This window comes from Homo sapiens, chromosome 2 (assembly GCF_000001405.40).
Source record: "Homo sapiens chromosome 2, GRCh38.p14 Primary Assembly".
Classification (NCBI taxonomy): Eukaryota; Metazoa; Chordata; class Mammalia; order Primates; family Hominidae; genus Homo; species Homo sapiens.
The window spans coordinates 206,008,979-206,031,347 of NC_000002.12; the positions used below are offsets into that span (position 1 = coordinate 206,008,979).

General features: G+C 40.2%; 1 protein-coding gene across 8 annotated transcripts in view; it reads right to left on the minus strand.

The window, feature by feature from the left end:
• INO80D (INO80 complex subunit D) overlaps positions 1–22,369 on the minus strand; it is a 92,454-nt gene that overhangs the window by 15,258 nt on the left and 54,827 nt on the right. For all 8 annotated transcript variants that reach the window (XM_047444830.1, XM_011511375.3, NM_017759.5 and 5 more), the window contains 4 exons: positions 19,133–19,357; positions 10,758–10,867; positions 8,702–8,835; positions 599–816 (listed from right to left, as the gene is read on the minus strand). In XM_047444830.1, coding sequence (XP_047300786.1) covers positions 599–816; positions 8,702–8,835; positions 10,758–10,867; positions 19,133–19,357 — 687 coding nt within the window. The remainder of the gene's footprint in view (positions 1–598; positions 817–8,701; positions 8,836–10,757; positions 10,868–19,132; positions 19,358–22,369) is intronic.

The following is a 22,369-nucleotide window of genomic DNA, read 5'->3' on the forward strand; positions in this document are numbered from 1 at the left end:
TTCTGTTGGAACATATATGGAATTTCTGCAAAAGTTTTAAAAGTTAAGAGACTAGGTATAGTGGTTCATGCCTGTATTCCCAGCACTTTGGGAGGCCGAGGCAGGTGGATCACTTGAGGTCAAGAGTTCCAGACTAGCCTGGCCAACATGGTGAAACCCCGTCTCTACTAAAAATACAAAAATCAGCTGGGCGTGATGGCACATGCCTGTAATCCCAGACTAGGGTGGCTGAGGCAGAAGAATCGCTTGAACCCTGGAGGCAGAGGTTGCAGGGAGCCGAGATTGCGCCACTGCACTTGGCCTGGGAGACAGAGCAAGACTTGGTCTCAAGAAAAAAAAAATGTTTTTTAAGTTGAGAGTATACAATTAAAGTCAGTTTCGCGTCTGTTCTCTTTATTGTAAGCAAAAGCTTAATTTTAGATCAAATACAGCCAGATATAGGTAAAATTTGCACCAAAAACTATTTAAAAAATCTAGGCTGATATACTAAATGGTTTCTGTAGCCTAGTGACAACTTTACAATAACCACATGAAGCTAGATGTTCTGAGAAGAATCCCAAAATGTAAAGAAAAATTAGGTGCCAGTGGCACCACTGACCGGATGTGAGAGGCCTCCACTGGCAGTGAGACGCTGGCGGGCATGCTGAGGTTCCCTTGGGGGACTGCAGGTGGAATGGGTTTTTGGGGTCGACGAGGTCCACGCCTTCTCTTCTTCTTGTGTTTTTTGGTTAGTGCAGGAGGCTTGGTTTTTTTCCTGGGTTTCCTCTGCTGCTGGTGCTGAACTTTACGGGAGTTATCTCCTCTCAAGAAATTATCCTTTGGAATGAATAAATAGGCTTTTAAATTGAGATTATCTGGGATAAACCTGACAGCTACCTAAAAAATACTTACATCCCTTAATATTCTATATAATGCCTAAAACATACTGGATGCCCAAAACTATGTATAACAATAATGAAGACATCAAACTTCATCAATTCCAAGATCTACATTTTAATATCTCTGCAATTGGGAAGCATTTTAAATTGGTGGCATTTTACCATTGCGGTCAGCCTGCTGATGGTCATTATAGTTGACACTGTCTACACACACACACACACACACACACGCACACACACGGTTCCAGTTCTTTGTACTGGCATCGTTTCTGAATTAAGGTTTGTACACTGTTGGTACTACGTGTGGAGGAAAATTTTTTGTGAATGTAGAAAGGCACAAAGAGCAGCAGGGCATAAAATTAATATTAGTGGAGCACATATTCATTACTGAAGAACCGACCACAATTCTTTTTTTTTTTTTTCCCTGTAAGGCAACAACCAAGTGAAAAAGGAAAATAACCACAAAGTAGATGAAGTTGTTCTATTGCTGAAGTACGTAGAAAATACTGCCTTTCACATGTCAAGCAGTACAGCCAAAACCAGGAACAGTATATAAAAATCTATGTCTAAATAAGTCTTTTAAAAGCTCTTTAATAAGTTGAAAACAAAAATTCTAAGTGATAAGAAAGTACCGCATCACTGGCAACATTTTTTTTCTTTCTTATTGGCACATAAAACAGTGGGATTTGCAATTGATGTCACCTTTAATTAATTCCCTAATAACTCTTGTAGCTAAATAAAGATTGTAGACCATAGTATTTTAAGACTAATAACTATCACTAGCATCAAAAAATTGAAAACAAGAAAGAATAAAATTAAAGCATAAATTCAGGAAATCTAAAACAGGTTTAATCCTACTCAAATGCTTGAATGTAAACAATTACAGATTAAGTCACAAATACATAAATTTAAAACAAACCAAAAAAAAGAGGCTACCTCTGGCCAGACGCAGTGGCTCACACCTGTAATCCCAGCACTTTGGGAGCCGAGGTGGGTGGATCACCTGAGGTCAGGAGTTCGAGACCAGCCTGGCCAACATGGCGAAACTCCATCTCTAATAAAAATACAAAAATTAGCCAGGCCTGGTGACACGTGCATGTAATCCTAGCTACTTGGGAGGCTGAGGCAACGGAATTGCTTGAACCCGGGAGGCAGAGGTTGCAGTGAGCTGAGATTATGCCATTGCACTTCAGCCTGGGCAACAAAAGCGAAACTCAGTCTCAAAAAAAAAAAAAAAAAAGGCTACTTCTCAGACTCTGTAGTTCTTTTTGTCTCAACACTTGAGGTCTACTTGTATTATGTCCACTATTTAACTCAACAAATGGTGAATGCGCAAGGGCCAGTACCCGAACATTGTGCTCAGCATCCATTCCAGGCTTTCCCTCCAGCACCAGTGCTGATCTCAGGAGGAAGTTAGGGGGCTCTCACCCAAGAGAAAATAAGTCCTATCTGTAAGGCTCCCAATGATCACCTGGGTCAGATTCCTGCCTGATTCTCCTAAGCTTGTGTGCAGTGGCCTTGTGGCACTCTTGGTACTATGCCAGATACTTCACACAGAACAGCCTGTGACTGATACCTGCCTTGCTCGCCTCCAGAGAGCTAGAGCCCCCACCCCCTGAGGCTTTCCTAATGCCAGCTGTTCTTTTACCTAGCTTCAGTGCACAGTGAAATACTATTCACTCCCAACTTTTGTCTGATTCTACCTCTATGTCAAGGCAATGCACTCACCATCTGTCATAGGATCTTACAAAGGTGGAATCCCATGTTCTGCCTGACAGCCGGGACTTCCTGCAGCTGGAGTCTCTTACCAATGGCTGTCACATCCTAGTTCTGAATCTTAACCCCTTCCATTGGTATGCCTAACCATTAATGTATTCAACAATTACTTACTGAGCATCTCTGTTCTAAGTGCTAGGGATACAGTAGTAACAAAAAAATGGTCCTGCCCTTGTGAGGTTTACATTCTAGTAGGAGAATACAGAAAATAAACAAACTAATGAATAACTGTTAGGCAGACAAATGTTAGGAAGAAAAATGAGGTAGAGTATGAGGATAAAACCTGACAGGGTAACAGGCAGGTGGAAGACTTGTGTGATGAGACAACACATGGTAACAAACCTGAATGAAAGGAAGGAGTGAGCAATGCGGAAACTTGGGAAAAGGCCAAGTGTGGTGGCTCATGCCTATAATCCCAACACTTTGGGAGGCAGTGGCAGGAGGATGTGATGGGAAGCCATTAGCAGGTTTTGATTTTATGGAGCTAATATGATCAGATGTATAGTCTAAAGGGCCTGCTCTAAAGGCTACTTACTACAGAATTCCCTTTCTATGACATTCTGGAAAATACAGAAGTATAGGGGCAGAAAATAGATCAGTGGGGATGGAGTAAAGGGATGACCACAAAGGGAGTAGTGTAAGAGAATCTGGGGAGCAGTTCTGTATCTTGATTTAGGTGGTGGTTATACAACTGTATGCGTCTACAAAACTCCTGAGAGTGTACACTCAAAAGTGAATTCAATTCAAAGAAAGTAGAACATAGACACACCCAGCCTACTCTGGCTGCTATGTAAACAACATACCCCCTATGGCAGGGGGATATGGCAAGAAGGGAGATCAATTAGGAGACTATTACAATAATCCAGGCAAAGATAATGGTAGCCTCAACTAGAATGGTAGCAGTGAAATTTATAAAATGTGTTTGGATTCAGAATATAATATGAAAATAGAGGCTTGGCACAGTGGCTCAGGCCTGTAAGATCCCAGCACTTTGGGAGGCCAAGGTGGGCAGATTACTTGAGGTCAGGAGCTCAAGACCAACCTGGCCAACATGGTAAAACCCCATGTCTACCAAAAAATACAAAAATTAACTGGGCACGGTGGCACACGCCTGCAGTCCCAGCTACTTGGGAGGCTACTGTGGGAGAATTCCTTGAACCTGAGAGACAGAGGTTGCAGTGAGCCGAGATTGCACCACTGCACTCAAACCTGGGTGACAAAGAGAGACTTGTCTCAAAAAAAAAAAAAAAAAAAACCAGAGCCTAGATTTGCACATACTTTTCATCTCCCAGTGTCAGTCTCTCATAGGAGCACTGATGGGGTACAAGTGCTTCTTATAGTCTCTTATGTAATTTTTAACCTAAAACAAAAATAGCTCAAACTACTGCCAGATTCTAACTGTCTTCAGAGAGAAAACCATTTTCAAAAATTTGTATTTTAAATACTTGAAAAAAATTTGATTAGTATAATTTTGATTGTTATATAAAATATATATTATTTTATGACTAATTTACATTATACTAATTCAGTCTTAGGTTTGCCTCATTGAATTTGCCTAAGTAGGAAAGTTTAACTAGCTGAAAAGAATAAAACTGCATTCAATTTCTCTAAAAGCATTCACATAATAATGGTTATAGGAGGCCAGGCGCGGTGGCTTACGCCTGTAATCCCAGCACTTTGGGAGGCCAAGGTGGGCGGATCATGAGGTCAGGAGATCGAGATCTTCCTGGCTAACATGGTGAAACCTCATCTCTACTAAAAATACAAAAATTAGCCAGGCGTGGTGGCAGGCACCTGTAGTCCCAGTTACTTGGGAGGCTGAGACAGAAGAATGGCGTGAACCCGGGAGGTGGAGCTTGCAGTGAGCCGAGATCTCACCACTGCACTCCAGCCTGGGTGATAAAGCAAGACTCCATCTCAAAAAAAAAAAAAAAATTGTTATAGGAACCAAAAATTCATTCATAATAAGTTCCTAAAGCAGACACTGAAGTACAGTTTTTTCTACTTAACAGTATCTTCCTCAGTATCTTAGAAGTATGCCGGAATGGTGGAACTTTAAAATGAAAATATGCAGCTGGGATCATTTATTTCGTGATTTGAAAGCTACAGGGCCCACATTACCATGGGTCTGTGAAATCATCAATGAAGGTCCACAAAAGTGGTTCAAAAAGCATATAGAAATTATTCCTTAGCTATGACAAAGCCTGAGTAAGCTTAAAAAAAAAAAAAAAAAAAGCCTATATTCGCTGGGCATGGTGGCTCATGCCTGTAATCCCAGCACTTTGGGAGACCAAGCCGGGTGGATCACCTGAGGTCAGGAGTTCAAGACCAGCCTGGCCAACATGGAAAAACGCTTTCTCTACTAAAAAAAACAAAAATTAGGCAGCATGGTGGCATGCGCCTGTAATCCAGCTACTCGGGAGGTTGAGGTGCAAGAATCACTTGAACCCAGGAGGCGGAGGTTGCAGTGAGCCAAGATTGCACCACTGCACTCCAGCCTGGGTGACAGAGTAAAACTCCATCTCAAAAAAAAAAAAAAAAACAACCTATATTTTAAATGTTTTTATATTAAAGTGGGAAAATAATTATTCAACATTTGTAATATGTAATTGTAATATGTAGTTTAGTATACAAATTTTTCAAAACATATTGTCTGTAAAAGAAACCTAAAAAATAAAACAAGTTCTTGGTGAAGAAGCCAGTTGATCTGGTTTGGTTCTGTGTCCCCACCCAAATTTCATCTTGTAGCTCCCATAATTCCCACGTGTTGTGGGAGGGAGACAGTGGGAGATGACTGAACTATGGGGGCAGGTCTTTCCCCTGTTGTTCTCGTAATAGTGAATGGGTCTCACAGATCTGATGGCTTTAAAAATGGGAGTTGCCCTGCACGAGCTCTTTTTGCCTGCCACCATCCATGTGAGATGTGACTTGTCCCTCCTTGCCTTCTGCCGTGATTGTGAGGCCTCCCCAGCCACGTGGAACTGTGAATCCAATTAAACCTCTTTTTTTTTTTAAATTGCCCAGTCTCAGGTATGTCTTTATCAGCAGCACAAAAACAGACTAATATAGCAAATTGGTACCAGTAGAGTGGGGTGCTGCTGAAAAGATACCCAAAAATGTGGAACCAACTTTGGAGCTGGGTAACAGGCAGAGGCTGGAACAGTTTGGAGGGCTCAGAAGAAGACAGAAAAATGTGGGAAAGTTTGGAACTCACTGGACACTTGTTGAATGGCTTTGACAAAAATGCTGATAGTGATATGGACAATGAAATCCAGGCTGAGGTGGTCTCAGAAGGAGATGAGGAACTTGTTGAGAACTGGAGCAAAGGTGACTCTTGTTATGTTTTAGCAAAGAGACTGGCAACATTTTGCCCCTGCCCTAAAGACTTATGGAACTTTGAACTTGAGAGAGATGATCTAGGGTATCTGGCAGAAGAAATTTCTAAGCAGCAAAGCATTCAAGAGGTGACTTGGGTGCTATTAGAAGCATTCAGTTTTAAAAGGGAAATATAGAATAAAAGTTTGGAAAATTTGCAGCCTGACAATGCAGTAGAAAAGAAAATCCCACTTTCTGAGCAGAAATTCAATCCAGCTGCAGAAATTTGCATAATTAACAAGGAGCTGAATGTTAATCCCCAAGACAATGGGGAAAATGTCTCCAGGGCACGTCAGATGTCTTCTCGGCAGCCCCTCCCATCATAGGCCTGGAGGCCTAGGAGGAAAAGATGGTTTCATGGGCCAAACCCAGGGCTCCCGTGCTCTGTGCAGCCTAAGGACTTGGTACCCTGCATTCCAACCACTCCAGCCATGGCTAAAAGGGAGCAAGGTAGAGCTCAGGCTGTTGTTTCAGAGGGTGGAAGCCCCAAGCCTTGGCAGCTTCTACATAGTGTTCAGCCTGCAAGTGCACAGAAGTCAAGAATTGAGGCTTGGGAACCTCCGCCTAGAATACAGAAGATGTATAGAAACAGTCTGTCTGGGCATGGTGGCTCACGCCTGTAATCTCAGCACTATGGGAGGCTGAGGCGGGCAGATCACCTGAGGTCAGGAGTTTGAGACCACCCTGGCCAACATGGTGAAACCCTGTCTCTGCTAAAAATACACACAAATTAGCCAAGCGTGGTGGCACACGCCTGTAATCCCAGCTACTTGGGAGGCTGAGGCACAAGAATTGCTTAAACCTTGAAAGCAGAGGTTGCAGTGAGCCAAGATCAAACCACTGCACTGCAGCCTGGGTGACAGAGTGAGACTCTGTCTCCAAAAAAAAAAAATGTATAGAAATGCCTGGATGCCCAGGCAGAAGTTTGCTGTAGGAGTGGGGCCCTCCAGGGGAACCTCTGCTAGAATAGTGCAGAAGGAAAATGTGGGTGGGAGCCTCCACACAGAGTCCCTACTGGGACACCACCTAGTGGAGCTGTGAGAAGAGGGCCACCATCCTCCAGACCCCAGAATGGTAGATCTACTGACAGCTTGCACCATGCACCTGGAAAAGCAGCAGATACTCAATGCCAGCCCATGAAAACAGCCAGGAGAGGGGCTATACCCTGCAAAGTCACAGGGGCAGACCTGCCCAAGATTATGGGAACCTATGTTTTGCATGAGCTTGACCTGGATGTGAGACATGAAGTCAAAGGAGATGATTTTGGAGCTTTTCGATTTGATTGTCCACTGGATTTCAGACTTGCATGGAGCCTGTAGCCCCTTTGTTTTGGCCAATTTCTCCCATTTGGAACAGCTGTATTTACCCAATGGCTGTACCCCCATTGTATCTAGGAAGTAACTAACTTGCTTTTGATTTTACAGGCTCATAGGCAGAAGAGACTTGCCTTGTCTCAGATGAGACTTTGGACTGTGGACTTTTGAGTTAATGCTGAAACTTTTGAGTTAATGCTGAAATGAGCTGAGACTTTGGAGGACTGTTGGGAAGGCATGATTACAATGTGAAGGTATTACAATGTGAAGATATGCTATTTGGGATGTGCCAGGGCAGAATGATACGGTTTGACTCTGTGTCCCCACCCAAATCTCATCTTGTAGCTCCCATAATTCCCACGTGTTGTGGGAGGGACCTGGTGGGAGACGACTGAATTATGGGGCAGGTCTTTCCTGTTGTCTTTCCTGTTGTTCTTGTAATAGTGAATGGGTCTCATGTGATCTGATGGTTTTATAAATGGGAGTCGCCCTACACAAACTCTATTTTTGCCTGCCTCCATCCATGTAAGATATGACTTACTCCTCCTTGCCTTCCACCATGATTTTGAGGCCTCCCCAGCCACATAGAACTGTGAGTCCAATTAAACCTCTTTCTTTTGTAAACTGCCCAGTCTCAGGTATGTCTTTCCCAGAGGCATGAAAACGGACTAATACACCAGTGAATCACACACATTGAGACTGAGGTCCAAAAAGGCTGAATCCTTAGCCCCTAGTTATATACCAAGCTGGTGGCAAAGCCAGGATCACAGGTTCCAACTATTAAGTCCTGGTCTAATACCCATTCCCTCACCCTGAGAATCCCTGAAAACTATAACATGTTTATAGAGGGCAGGAAGTATCTCACTTTCTAGTACATAAGGTACCTAGGAAAGTATCTTGCAGTAACTGCTTGATGGATGAAAACAATAAAAATGAACTTCCTTTAAATGATTATATAATTTAGATATTCCTCAAATTCAAATCTGTCTCTCCTCCAAATTATTCTGAATTAATTAGGATTTATGATAACTAGCATTAACTAAAGCAATAATTACATTCAATAGATTTCTAGAAAGGCTGGGCCTTCGATTGAAGTTTCATCAACTATTCATGACATTTGTAGAATTGTATATAAGAAAGCAAAAACTTAGAGACATAGGAACAAAGAGAGTATTTAGAAATTCTGCTATGTATAAGATACATATCTTAAGGTAATAAAATGTATCTTAAGGGAATAAAAATCCTCTCTCAAAACTTGTTTCAGTGATTTATATACATACATAGTTTGTGCTAAGTTATAAAATACTTCCTACAGTGGATAGCTACAAAAAGTTTGAAAGCCTCTGTTGCAGAACTTACCATTTTTTTGGCATGTTCTTCACACAGAGGTGTCTGATGTGTAATGTCAAAAACTGGCACAGAGCACTGCTGTCCATCTGCAAACTTGGCTGTGCAACTTGAGAAGAGCTGCTGAGAGTGGTTCAAGAGGATATCTGGGTTTTTTTAAGTTAGGAGTAAAATACACTGAAACTCTAATTTTTCAATTTCTATATAAAATTTGCTTGTTCCCTTACATTTCATAAGTACAAGCTTTATTATCCATAATATAAATATTACCCATATCAGTACTAGCTCAACTACTGATATGGGAAAATAATAGAATTTATCAGATGACAACTCTGAAGGACTCTATTTTGCTAATGAGACCCTGGCACCAGTCTCCTTAATGACCATTCTGAACCAAATTGTGTTATTTGGAAAAGCAGGGCCATTTCCTTCTTAACATGTGAACTCCACTTAAAGTTCCACTTCATGTTTTTTTTGTTTTGTTTTTTGTTTTGAGATGAAGTCACTCTGTTGCCCAGGCTGGAGTGCAATGGCACGATCTCAGCTCACTGCCACCTCGGCCTCCCGGGTTCAAGCAAGTGATTCTCCTGTCTCAGCCTCCCGAGTAACTGGGATTACAGGCATCTGTCACCACATCCAGATAATTTATTGTATTTTTAGTAGAGACAGGGTTTCACCATATTGGCCAGGCTGGTCTCGAACTCCTGACCTCAAGTGATCTAGCCGCCTCAGCCTCCCAAAGCGTTGAGATTATAGGCATAAGCCACTGCACCTGGCCAATGGTTTTCTTTTTTTAAACAGCTCTTAAAAGGAAAATTTTCTGCCTATGATACTTACCAAGAATAAAAATTTAAAGATATAGTTATTAGAAACTCATCTTTCCAAATTTGAATATTTTGCTTCACACTTCCAGCAACAAACTCAAACTCACAACCCATGAAAAATTACTTTTAAATCAAAACTTCACTATTGGCCAGGCACAGTGGCTCACACCTATACTCCCAGCACTGTGGGAGGCTAAGGTGGGTTGATTTATTGAGCCTCAGAAGTTCAGGATCAGCCTGGGCAACAAAAAAGTACAAAAATTAGTCAGGCATGGTGGTGCATGCCTGTAGTCCCAGGTACTCAGGAGGCTGTGATGCAAAGATCACCTGAGCCCAGGGAGGTCGAGGCTGCAGTGAGCTGTGATCGTGCCACTGCACTTCAGCCGGGGTGACAGAGTGAGATCCTGCCTCTAAACAAACAAACATGAGCTTTACATCATCAATATTTTTAAGCACTCATACTTTTAGCTACTACATTTCCTTAACACTTACCTTATATCTATTAAGTGCCTTTGTGTTTTTCCTTTATGGTTTTTAGGTAAAACTATAAAGCCTTTATTACATAGAAAGTGCTGCTGAACAAGCTGTTCCAAGAACAGAAAGGAGGGCAACAATTAAATAGATGGTAAAGATAAGTAATTGCTGCTATTTTTACATGCTACCTGATTTTAAATACTCAATAAAAGTCACAGCAATAAGATTTCATCACCAACCTAAAGCTCTTTAACATAGGTTTTCTTCAAGTATACTTTAAAAGAGATCTTCTTTCCTAGGCAGTGATGTTTGTTACCTTTCATTCATTTCAAATCAGCACTGTACTCATTAAAAAGAGTAAACTAATCTTACAGGAAAAAGTTCTGTAAAACTGTGTAACTGTCTTAGAAGACTAAAAACAGATTTTAAATAATGTGATTTGATTTTTTCCATTAATGAGTGTTATAGCTCCTTCTTACAAGCTACTAGGAACCACCTGAGGGACCAGAATTCTATTAACAAAATATAATTAAGTGACAGACACTGGAGGAACCTGCTATTTGCTATCAATTTTGCTTATTTTTTGTGATTTTTGAGTAAAACAAGAAAAATTATTCAGAGGACATCATGAAAATTATGTTCGATAAAATTATTTTAAACATTAAACAGTTATGGTTTCAAAAGTCATTCACTTGAATTAAAAATGAAATATACAGCCCCAAATTAGGTAGTACTTTTTCAATGCACATTCCATTTAGTTGAAAGGATACGTTGGAAACAATGTCTGGTGAATGGAAGGGCTTTGTTAGCGCACTGTTCACCCTTCACGGTTCCACTGCATGCTGCTGGTTCCACCTCCCTCAGCTTGGTCCGGCTTATGCTAAGGAAAGAAAAACAGAGAATTAATTTTTTTTTAATGCTTTAAGAATCCAGGGTAATTTTTCAACATGATGTCACAACTCTGTAACACTCTCATTATAATATATATAACATCTACAGTCACTAAATAAAATGCAAATGTGATTTAAAGAAAGACGGTATTACAATTACCAATTGTGTTATTTCCCTAATCTTCTGACATTCAAAGCTGATAATTACATCAGAATATGTTTCAAGTATGTCTGTTTTTTTTTTTAAGTGATGTTTTATTTCCCTTTTCTTCACAAAGAGACAGTAGAGAAAAGTGATGAAGAACATGAGAGAAGAATCAGATGGACCTGGTTTTGAATCTCAGCTCTCCCTCTTACTAGCTGTGTGACTATGGGCATGTTGCTCAGCCTCATTTAAACCCCAATTTTCTCACCTGTAAAGTAGAGACAATAAGGTACCTTGAGCTGGCAGGGTTGTTGGGAGCATAAAAGGATTAATCACATCTAAACCACTTATATACAGTATATAGTATTACACAGTAAACAGTCAGTGGTTGTTAGTCATGACTATGATTATCGCCACCATTAGGAATTGATTGCCTCATGCTACTAAACCCATAAATCTGCAAAAAAACTCTTCATCTCATACATGGGGAAGAGGATACTGATACGCAGAAATGGCTGAGTGGCTTTTATCCTCCAAAGTGAACTCACTTTAGATCTATTTTTTAAACTTTCTATTATATGTGCAATCCATGTTTCATTATTTAAATTTTTTTTTATCTCCACTTTGTACACTTAATGTTTAAATATTTTAACTCATTTAAAATCTTATGAATAAGCAATGCATTCACATGGATCCATAAAAAAATGAAAGAATGCTAGGCAGTGAAGAATCGACTTCTTGCCCTTGCCCCCTAATTTGCCAGCCCCCACTCCCTCTATAATACGTATTCATTTTATTAGTCTGCAGATCCTTCCAGTTTCTTTACACAAACATATAAAAACACAAATAAATAACATTTAAATTCTTAGAAGTGGGCCAGGTGCAGTGGTTCATGACTGTAATCCCAGCACTTTGGGAGGCAGAGGAGGGCTCCCAAAATCAAAAAGGATCGCTTGAGCCCAGGAGTTTGAGACCAGTCTGGGCAACATAGGGAGATCCCCATCTCTATTGAAAAAAAGAAAAAGAAAAAGAAAAAAGACAATTCTTACAAGTACAAAACCTATCCCATCTACGTGACTCTATAAAGCATCACAAACCATTAGGCCTTTACAAGTCTGAGTATGAGGAAAAAAATCTACTTAACATACTGAGTTCAAGTCAGATATCACAAACAAAAAATCTTTTGAGTTGTTTGTTTCTAGTATCTTTCTCAGGGTTTCAATGGAATTATTGACACTAATTAGGTAAGGCCACACAGAATCTAAATTACATATGAATTTACACAAAATATAAATACTTCTACCGTAGTTATTAATTTCATATAAACTGTAAACACTGTTTATATGTCCATGGTGTTGCCTTAAAACCTGCCTTAACTAAGATGTCTACAAGATTTGTCACGATTATAAGAATAGGGAAGTGGATCATCATAGAACTAAACAGTTTATTCCTAATAGTTTATCCATTGTTTCTTTAAAAAATTGTTTACATTAAATTTAGCCCTATAAAAGGAATATATAATTTCAAATAAATAAACCTTTACTATTCTGGCAGCTAAGCTCAAATTCTCTTGGTCTAGATTTAAATAGAAAGGTCTCCATATTAAAGGGATACTTCTCTTTTTTTATTTTGAGACGGAGTTTTGCTTGTTGCCCAGGCTGGAGTGCAATGGTGCGATCTCGACTCACTGCAACCCTCACCTCCCGGGTTCAGGTGATTCCCCTGCCTCAGCCTCCCAAGTAGCTGGGATTACAGGCACCTGCCACCATGCCTTGTTAATTTTTTATATTTTTAGTAGAGACGTGGTTTCACCATGTTGGCTGGGCTGGTCTTGAACTCCTGACCTCAGGTGATCCACCTGCCTCAGCCTCCCAAAGTGCTGGGATTACTGGCATGAGTCACCACACCCTGCCTGAATGGATAATTTTCATTAAACACTCTAATAAACCGCTCAGCTATCTTCAAAGACTAGTGTACAATACATTCCCTCATTTTCTTTATTCCAAACTTACAAAATAACTATTGGTTTCATTTTTTAAACTTGCCTTGTTTCAATAACCCCATGGACAAATTAAGGTAAAAATGGCCAGACACAGTGGCTCACCCAGTAATCCCAGCACTTTGGGAGGCTGAGGCAGGCGGATCACAAGGTCAGGAGTTCGAGACCAGCCTGGCCAACACAGTGAAACCCCGTCTCTACTAAAAATACAAAAAAAATTAGCTGGGCATGGTGGCGGGCACCTGTAATCCCAGCTACTCGGGAGGCTGAGGTAGGAGAATCACTTGAACCCAGGAGGTGGAGGTTGCAGTGAGCCGAGATCACACCATTGCACTCCAGCCTGGGCAACAGAGCAGAACTCTGTCTCAAAAAATAAAAAATAAAAAAAAATTAATGTGAAAATGCTTGATGTAATGTTAGATATATTTTATTATCCAAATAAGCCCAACAAACAAAGGGAATTACCAAAACTTTTTCATGTTTTTCATATTTAAAAAATCTACTACAGGATTCCCTTTGACATGCCCTATTGCACCCCCCATAAATAATGATGTTTCCATACAAACATTAGTCACTGTATGATTGTGGGCTGCAAGATACTTAATTTGGGTTCACATATTTGAAGCTATTTCAATGGCTTATTCCACTTACTCATCAATAAATACGACAAAGTTATTTGATAGGAAAGACTAACATTATTTAGCTTGTATACAAACTATATTTTATTTTATTGAGAAGGAGTCTCCCTCTGTCACCCAGGCTGGAGTGCAATGGTGCAATCTCAGCTCACTGCAAGTTCTGCCTCCCGGGTTCAAGCAATTCTCCCACAGCAGCCTCCCAAGTAGCTGAGACTACAGGCGCATGCCACCACACCCAGCCACCATGCCTGGCCAACGAACTCTATTTTAAAGGATCCAGGCCGGGCGCAGTGGCTCATGTTTGTAATCCCAGCACTTTGGGAGGCCAAGGCAGGCAGAGTACCTGAGGTCAGGAGTTCGAGACCAGCTTGGCCAACATGGTGAAATCCTGTCTCTACAAAAAATACAAAACAATTAGCCAGACGTGGTAAAGGGTGCCTGTAATCCCAGCTACTTGGGAGGTTGAGGCAGGAGAACCACTTGAATCCGGGAGGCGGAGCTTGCAGGGAGCCAAGACAGCGCCATTGCACTCCAGCCTGGGCAACAAGAGTGACACTCCATCTCAAAAAACTAAAAAATTAATAAAGGGTCCACATTAGAAGGTAGCCATTAAACTTTTAATTTCTAAAATATGTAATGTCAAACTTTTATGTATCTTTTTTTGAAACTAGGACTTTAATACCGAAAATATCAAATAGAGGGCAGCATGCAACTAAAAGTTGACTTTTGTGAACCTAGAATATAATGTAATATAAAAAGCTGCCGGCTGGGCGCAGTGGCTCATGCCTGTAATCCTACCACTTTGGGAGGCCGGGGGAGGCAGATCACGAGGTCAGGAGTTCATGACCAGCCTAGCCAACATAGTGAAACCCCGTCTCCACTAAAAATACAAAAAATTAGCCGGGCATAGTGGCGCATGCCTGTAGTCCCAGCTACTTGGGAGGCTGAGGGAGAAGAATTGCTTGAACCCAGGAGGTGGAGGTTGTGGTGAGCCAAGACTGTGTCACCACACTCCAGCCTGGGCAACAGAGTGAGACTCATCTAAAAAAAAAAAAAAAAAAAAAAGTTGCCAATCACCAAAGAATGATTATGATACATTGTTACATGATTATCAGCGATGCACTGGGCCATAAACTTTTCACTAATCATGGGTGACACAACTGAATATCATCAAATCAATCTGAAAACTATAACAGGGTCCATCTTGCTGTTTGTTTGTTGTGGCAGTTATCATTAATGTTTTTTAAATATCACTGATGTCAGTTAGGAAGATGTTCTGAAAACAACCAGTTAAGAATCATAGATATATACAGTTTTCCACACAAATACCAAATTTTCCCAAACTCATTGTATAGTCTTTTATATCTTTGACAAGATCAGAATAATATATTGGACTCAGCATATACATTTACATACAAATTGGTTCATGCTGGACAATTCTACTAAAAGTATACACTTGAAAGCATTATATCATATAAATGTTAGTTATCATTATTTTATAACCTGTGTCAAACTGAGTAAATTCCTTCAACAAATAGAGAACAGACCTTCATTTATTCAATTTTGTTCACTCGTTCATCAATACTGGAGATTTAGGAACAAACTTTTTCCTGTTCTCATGGAAATTACTGTCTAGCATGAGAGACAAGTTAATATAGGTATAAAATTGTACAATGAAACAGAGTACAGAGCACAGTAGGCATACACAGTAGAGGGAACCTAACATAGTCCAGGGAATCAGGGAATGTATCTCTAAGAACATAAGTCTCTGAGTAAGCTGAGACCTGAAGGATGTTCTAGAACAGATACTAGATCCAGAGGACTGAGAGGTCTAGGAGTCAGGCAAGGTGATTTGGGTGTAAGGGAAGAGTAGGCTGCAGCCATTACATATGGTATATTAGATACTTCAAACAACTCTAACCTGTTCTACTTCTAGAAAACTCTTAAGGGCACAGTGCATCCATGTGAGATATGCAACTGAAAATTAGGTCACTTTATTACAACAAATGAAAAGCAAAATACACAACACTAAAATAAAATATCAAAAAACAGGTATATAAGTAATATGACCAACAGCTACAAAATAAAGGTTATATTTTAACACTTTGTTTTATTTATTTATCTTTTTTTTTGTTTGAGACGGAGTCTCACTCTGTCGCCTAGCCTGGAATGCAGTGGCACAATCTCGGCTCACTGCAACCTCTGCCTCCTGGGTTCAAGCAATTCTCCTGCCTCAGCCTCCCGAGTAGCTGGGACTACAGGTGCCCACCACCACACCCAGCTAATTTTTGTGTTTTTAGTAGAGACAAGGCTTCACTATGTTGGCCAGGCTGGTCTCGAACTCCTGACCTCATGATCCGCCCACCTCGGCCTCCCAAATCATGCTGGGATTACAGGCATGAGCCATCGCACCCGGCCAACACTTTGTTTTAAAACCCTTTTTTTCCCTCAAGTGACTTATGATCATTACATAAAAATGAGACTGTACAAACTAAGAATTTTTTCATTTTATCAATAATCCCACCACCTAGAGATATTCTGGTACATAAATTCCTAAATTTTTTCTCTATATATGTACTAAAAGTTGTCATATGAAAATATAATAACTGGCCACGCATGGTAGCTCACGCCTGTAATCCCAGCACTTTGGGAGGCCGAGGTGGGTGGATCACCTGAGGTCAGGAATTCCAGACCAGGCTGGCCAACATGGCGAAACTCCATTTCTACTAAAAATACAAAAATTAGCCAAGCGTGGTGGCGGGTGCCTGTAGTCCAAGCTACTCAGGAGGCTGAGGCAGGAGAATTGCTTGAACCCGGGAGGCAGAGGTTGTAGTGAGCCGAGATCGCACCATTGCACTCCAGCCTACACAAGAAGAGTGAAACTCCATCTCAAAAAAAAAAAAAAATATATATATATATATATATATATATAAAATAACTAAAAAGTGTGAAATAGGCTGGTCCATATGCAGTGGTTTTACAAGTAATTTATCACAACCAGTTAGTTACAGATTTCTTTGCTCCTTCTCCACTCCCACTGCTTCACTTGACTAGCCTTAAAGGAAAAGAAATTTTTTAAATGTGTGAAATAATAAATAATAAACTCAATAAAGAAGCTGGCCTTCTATCAGGAGGCTGAGGCTGTAGTGACCCGTGATTACGCCACTGAATTCCAGCCTGGGCGACAGACTGAGACCTTGTCTGAACGACAACAAAAAGAATCAGAATTTGAACTCTATTTCCTTAAAGTAAGATAATGTTTTGAAATTTTTTTTTTTGGAAGGCAGTCCCACTCTGTCGCCCAGGCTAGAGCACAATGGTGTGATCTCTGCTCACTGCAACCTCCTACTCCCAGGCTAAAGCCATCCTCCCACCTCAACGTTCCTAGTAGCTAGGACTACAGGTGCACGCCACCACACCTGGCTAATTTTTGTATTTTTTAGTAGAGATGGGGTCTCATCACGTTGTCCAGGCTAATCTCGAATTCGTGACCTCAAGTGATCTACCCACCTCAGCCTACCAAAGTGCTGGGATTACAGGTGTGAGCCACTGCACCCAGCCATGTTTTGAAATTTTAAAATTCAATTTAGTGCTTTAAATGTGTATTTCAGTTAAAAGTAATAACCAGGCAGGGGCAGTGGCTCATGCCTGTGATCCCAGGACTTTGGGAGGCCAAGGTGGGCAGATCACTTGAGGTCAGGAGTTCAAGACCAGCCTGGCCAACATGGTGAAACCCCATCTTTACTAAAAATACAAAAATTGGCTTGGCATGATGGCGGGCACCTGTAATCCCAGCTACTTGGGAGGCTGAGACAGAAGAATTGCTTGAACCAGGGAGGCAGAGGTTGCCATGAGCCAAGATCGTGCCACTTCACTCCAGCCTGGGTGACAGGGCAAGGCTCCGTCTCAAAAAAAAATTAAAAAAAAGAAAAATAGCCATAATTAAAATATATATAAAAAACAAAATTGTGTTAAATATGTATTTATATATACACAACAGATATTATATATATTTTATATATAACAGATATTTTATATTTATATATATAACAGAATTCCATAATCAGTTTAGAAAATATAACTTTGTATTTTTTAAAAATTTTATAGGTATAAACAAAGGTATTACTGTACTAAGGTTTTCACCATTACCACCAAAATGGTAATATGCCAAATTTCTAAAATATCAGATAACTCTACATTTCTGATATACAGATTTTCACGAATGGAATATTATGTAAACATTATAAATCCTGTTTTCAAAAGAATCTTGAAGAACATAGGGAAATGGCTATGGTATACTTTTGAGGGAAAACTAGAAAACTCAAATTATTGTCATGAGAATGTCATTAATTAATAATTAAGAATTAATCTCATGAGAAAGTGGTCATAATTCAGTGATAAAAGGAAAAGAGCATTTACGGAAATAAATGAAAATAATACAGATAACATGATTTCAATTTTGCTTTTTAATATAAACACATGGCTCACTGGAAAATTTACACACGCACGCGCGCACGCGCACACACACACACACACACACAGAGAAAGACTAGAAGGAAACAGAATCAAAATGTTAACAGTGCTCATTCTCTCTCTCATGAATGGTAACAAGAAGATTTTTCCCTTCTCATTTGTGTATTTTTAAAATTTTCCACAATAAACAAGTATTTGCATTATAAACAGAAGGAATTTTTTTCTTAAAAAAAATTCAATGTAATAAAATACTTGCACAAATAATCTGTGAGGTAATGTAAATATTAATAGAAAACACACTGAAAAGGCCAGCTACAGTGGCTAACACCTCTAATCCCAACACTTTGGGAGGTAAAGGTGGGAGGATCGCTTCAGGCCAGGAGTTTGAGACCAGCTTGGGCAATACAGCGAGACCCTCACCTCTACAAAAAAAAATTTTTTTAATTAGCTGGGTATGGTTTCACATGCCTATAGTCCCAGCTACTCAGGAGGCTGAGGTGGGAGGGTCATTTGAGCCCAGGAGTTTGAGGCTGCAGTGATCTATGATCACACCACTGCACTCCAGCCTGGGCGACAGAGCAAGACCCTGTCTCTAAAAACAAAAAAATGAAAACCAACACTGAAAAGAAACTAAAATAACACATGTAAATAAACATAAAATACTACTTTTGTAGTTAAAAATCTATAAATGTTACTTTTAAATAACATGAAATTTCTAAGCATTCTATTTTTTTAAAGCCAGGTAACATTCTCAAATCTTCAATGAATAAATTCTAATCAAACTTCAGCAAAATTTTAGTAATGGTTTAATTTTACTGTTAGCTCATGGCAGTATTATTTTGCCACCTGTAGCACTTTAATAAAGCAAGAAAACCAAAACATAATGCTTAAACGTTTAGGACTTAGTGGTCATCTCCCACTGTGCCTCAACTATCCTCTCACAAAATAAAGAAAGCAAACTGAGATGAGTCCCTTAAGAATAGGTTGCTGTGGCTCTAACCTGGTTCGACTGCATGCAGCTCTCCGCAGTTCTTGTATTAACTGACCAGTGCATTCTGGTTCTTTACTGGCCGCCTGCAGCAAAGCTTTCCTAAACGTATGCCGGCATTTCTTTTGACGAGATTCTGCCCGCTCCAGGCGGCAGAGGTGCTTATATTTCTGCTGAAAGTAAGTGCAAAGTTGAGTCACCCTGGAGCTCCTACTCTCCGCATCATCATCATCTGACCTGGAAAGTGCAGGGAGAGAAAGGAAAAACTGATTACACATTAGGCTCATTTTAGACAGGGTAAACGAGAATTAGGAAATGTAGCTGAATGCACAGGTTTAAAACTTTTGTGGCATGTGAGCACATACTTCACACAATTAGAGTAAGAGAATTCCAACAGAGCTGAACTAAGTACAGTATTTCAACAGTAAGGACAGAGTTAATCCAGTGTTTTCAAAAACAGCCTTCTTAGCATGGCATCAGTAGACACTTAATATACCAGTGTCTTCTAAATTTTAAGTGACTAGAGACCCCTGAGGAAAAAAATTCATTTCTTTACCTTTACTTACTAAAAAGTCTGAGTAAATGACATGACAGTTATGAGGAAACACATAGCATAATTTCATAAAAGATAGGTCATACCAGAAATAGGGCAGCGAATTCTAACAGTTTATTATCTAAGAGCTGCCCTTTTAACCATTCTGGTTTTTAACCACCTTTTTCTTGCTAACCACCTAAAGAAATTTGGTTGTAGGGATCGCATTAATTCTACCATGTATTTTTGTTTTGTTTTTTTGTTTTTTTTTTTTGGAGACAGAGTCTCACTCTGTCGCCCAGGCTGGAGTGCAGTGATGCGATCTCAGCTCACTGCAAGCTCCATCTCCTGGGTTCACGCCATTCTCCTGCCTCAGCCTCATGAGTAGCTGGGACTACAGGTGTCTGCCACCACGCCTGGCTAATTTTTTTGTATTTTTAATAGAGACGGGGTTTCACCATGTTAGCTAGGATGGTCTCGATCTCCTGACCTTGTCATCCACCTGTCTCGGCCTCCCAAAGTGCTGGGATTACAGGCATGAGCCACCGAGCCCGGCCTTCTACCATGTATTTTTTTAACTATGGAAGTATCCTAAACAGCATTTGATAAGTCAGGGATTACATAAAGGATTTTCCATCACATGCTAATAATGTGATTAATTGGTGTCCTGGCTGAAATGCTATGTGGAAGTGATGCTGAAGGAACATCTAAGCTCAACAAGAAAGAGTGCCTTTTTAGCAATGGCTACCACCAGCAAGGTTTAAAAGGCCACTTTTTTATGGAACAAATGTGATCTTACTTTTTACCGTTAGGAATAATGCCCACTGGACTTGAAAACTGACCTGTTATTTTAGCTTCTTTCTCTGCTATCATAAGTAAATACCACACATGACACCATGGACTATATATTCTCTTACTAATCTTCTACTATTCATTGCTGGGTTTCTCTTAAGTGATATTATTCTTCTTTCCTTCAGCATAGTCTATAACAGGCTACTCTATAAACTTCTACTTAGTACCTCTCCTAAGAAGCACATTCTCGTCAGTATACTTTTTACTACAGATCTACAAATTGAAGGACTTTACTTCAATCTTTTCATTTATTCAACATTCAACATTCACTGTGTATCTATTATGCTCAGCACTACAGAAGAGAGACCAACATTTCAAAGAGTTTGCAATGCAATTTGGACAAGATAAACACTTCCCAAAAAGTTAAAACAATTCAAAAAAGAATAAAAACAGTAACAAAAACAGTGGGGCAAAAAGGCCAATGATTCAAATATCTGACCACAAATCAGAAAAATCTGTGAGCACTTAAAAGTTTCAGACTCCTACAAACTACCCCAAATCTACTGAACCAGAATCTCCATGGTATAGGGCCCAGGATTCTTCATTTTGAATTTTTCCCTGACCTCTGACAGCAGGTCTACACTTGGGAGTTCTCGTAGAGCTAGCAAATGTGATAAATATCTTTCACACAAGACAGAAAACAGTAAAGTACCACAACAGAGGTCAGGGTAAGGTGTTACTGAAGTTCACTGGAAAGACAGCTGGAAGGCCTGGGTACGATGGCTCACATCTGTAATCCCTGCAATTTTGGGAGGCCAAGGTGGGCAGATCACCTGAGGTCAAGAGTTTGACCAACAACGCAAAACCCTGTCTCTACTAAAAATACAAAAAGTACTCAGGTGTAGTGGTGTATTCCTGTAATCCCAGTCACTCAGGAGACTGAGGCAGGAGAATCATTTGAACCTGGGAGGTGGAGGTTGCAGGAAACTGAGACCACAGCAGTGCACTCCATCCTGGGTGACAGAGCAAGACTTTGTCTCAAAAAAAAAAAAGACTGCTGGAAGTAAAGAAAGGCTTTGCAGAGGAGGTGACAGCAGAAATGAACCCTGAAGAAAGAGGACCTCACACAAATACAACACGTAAGCCAAGACACACAAGACACAGAGATAGACAGGATGGTGAACAGCAAGAATGTAAGTAGCTTGGTGTGGCTAAGGTAAGGGGTCTGTAAGGGAATAATGATAGGTAAGGTTAGCTTTCTAGACTTAAATGTCAAATTAAAGAGTTTAACCTTTATTCCACAGGTAAAGCAGAAGACTTGTAATTTTTTAAATTTTGCACTCCTAACTGCTAAGCTTTGTAACTGTTAAGAAAATACAGTAACAGAGGTGTGCCATGACAATGATTACAGTCAGCAGCAGATATAAAATAAACAGAAGAAGAGAGAGAAGAAGGCAGTTAAAAAATTACTGTAAATCTCCAGCAAAGAGATAACAAGGATCCATGCTAGGATGGAAGGAGCAGGACTGGAGAGCATGAGGCAATCTGCATGTATAAAGACAAGCTTTGTCAGCTGGCAAGGACCAGAGAAGGGACAATAAGCAGGCAGCAGTTTCCACCAACAAAGAATGGGAAGGACAGTAACATCATGTATAAAACAAGGAACTAAAAATACAAAAAAAATAGCTTGGTATGGTGGTGCATCCCTGTAGTCCCAGCTACTTGGGAGGCTGAGGCAGGAGAATCACTTGAACCCAGGAGGCAGAGGTTGCAGTGAGCCAAGATCACGCCAGTGCACTCCAGCCTGGGTGACAGAGCAAGACTCCATCTCGAAAAAAAAGAAAAAAAAAAAAGACATATAAGGGCCATTATCATAAGTGAACTAACTCACTTTGGTGACTCAATATGAAAGATTAGAAAGTCAA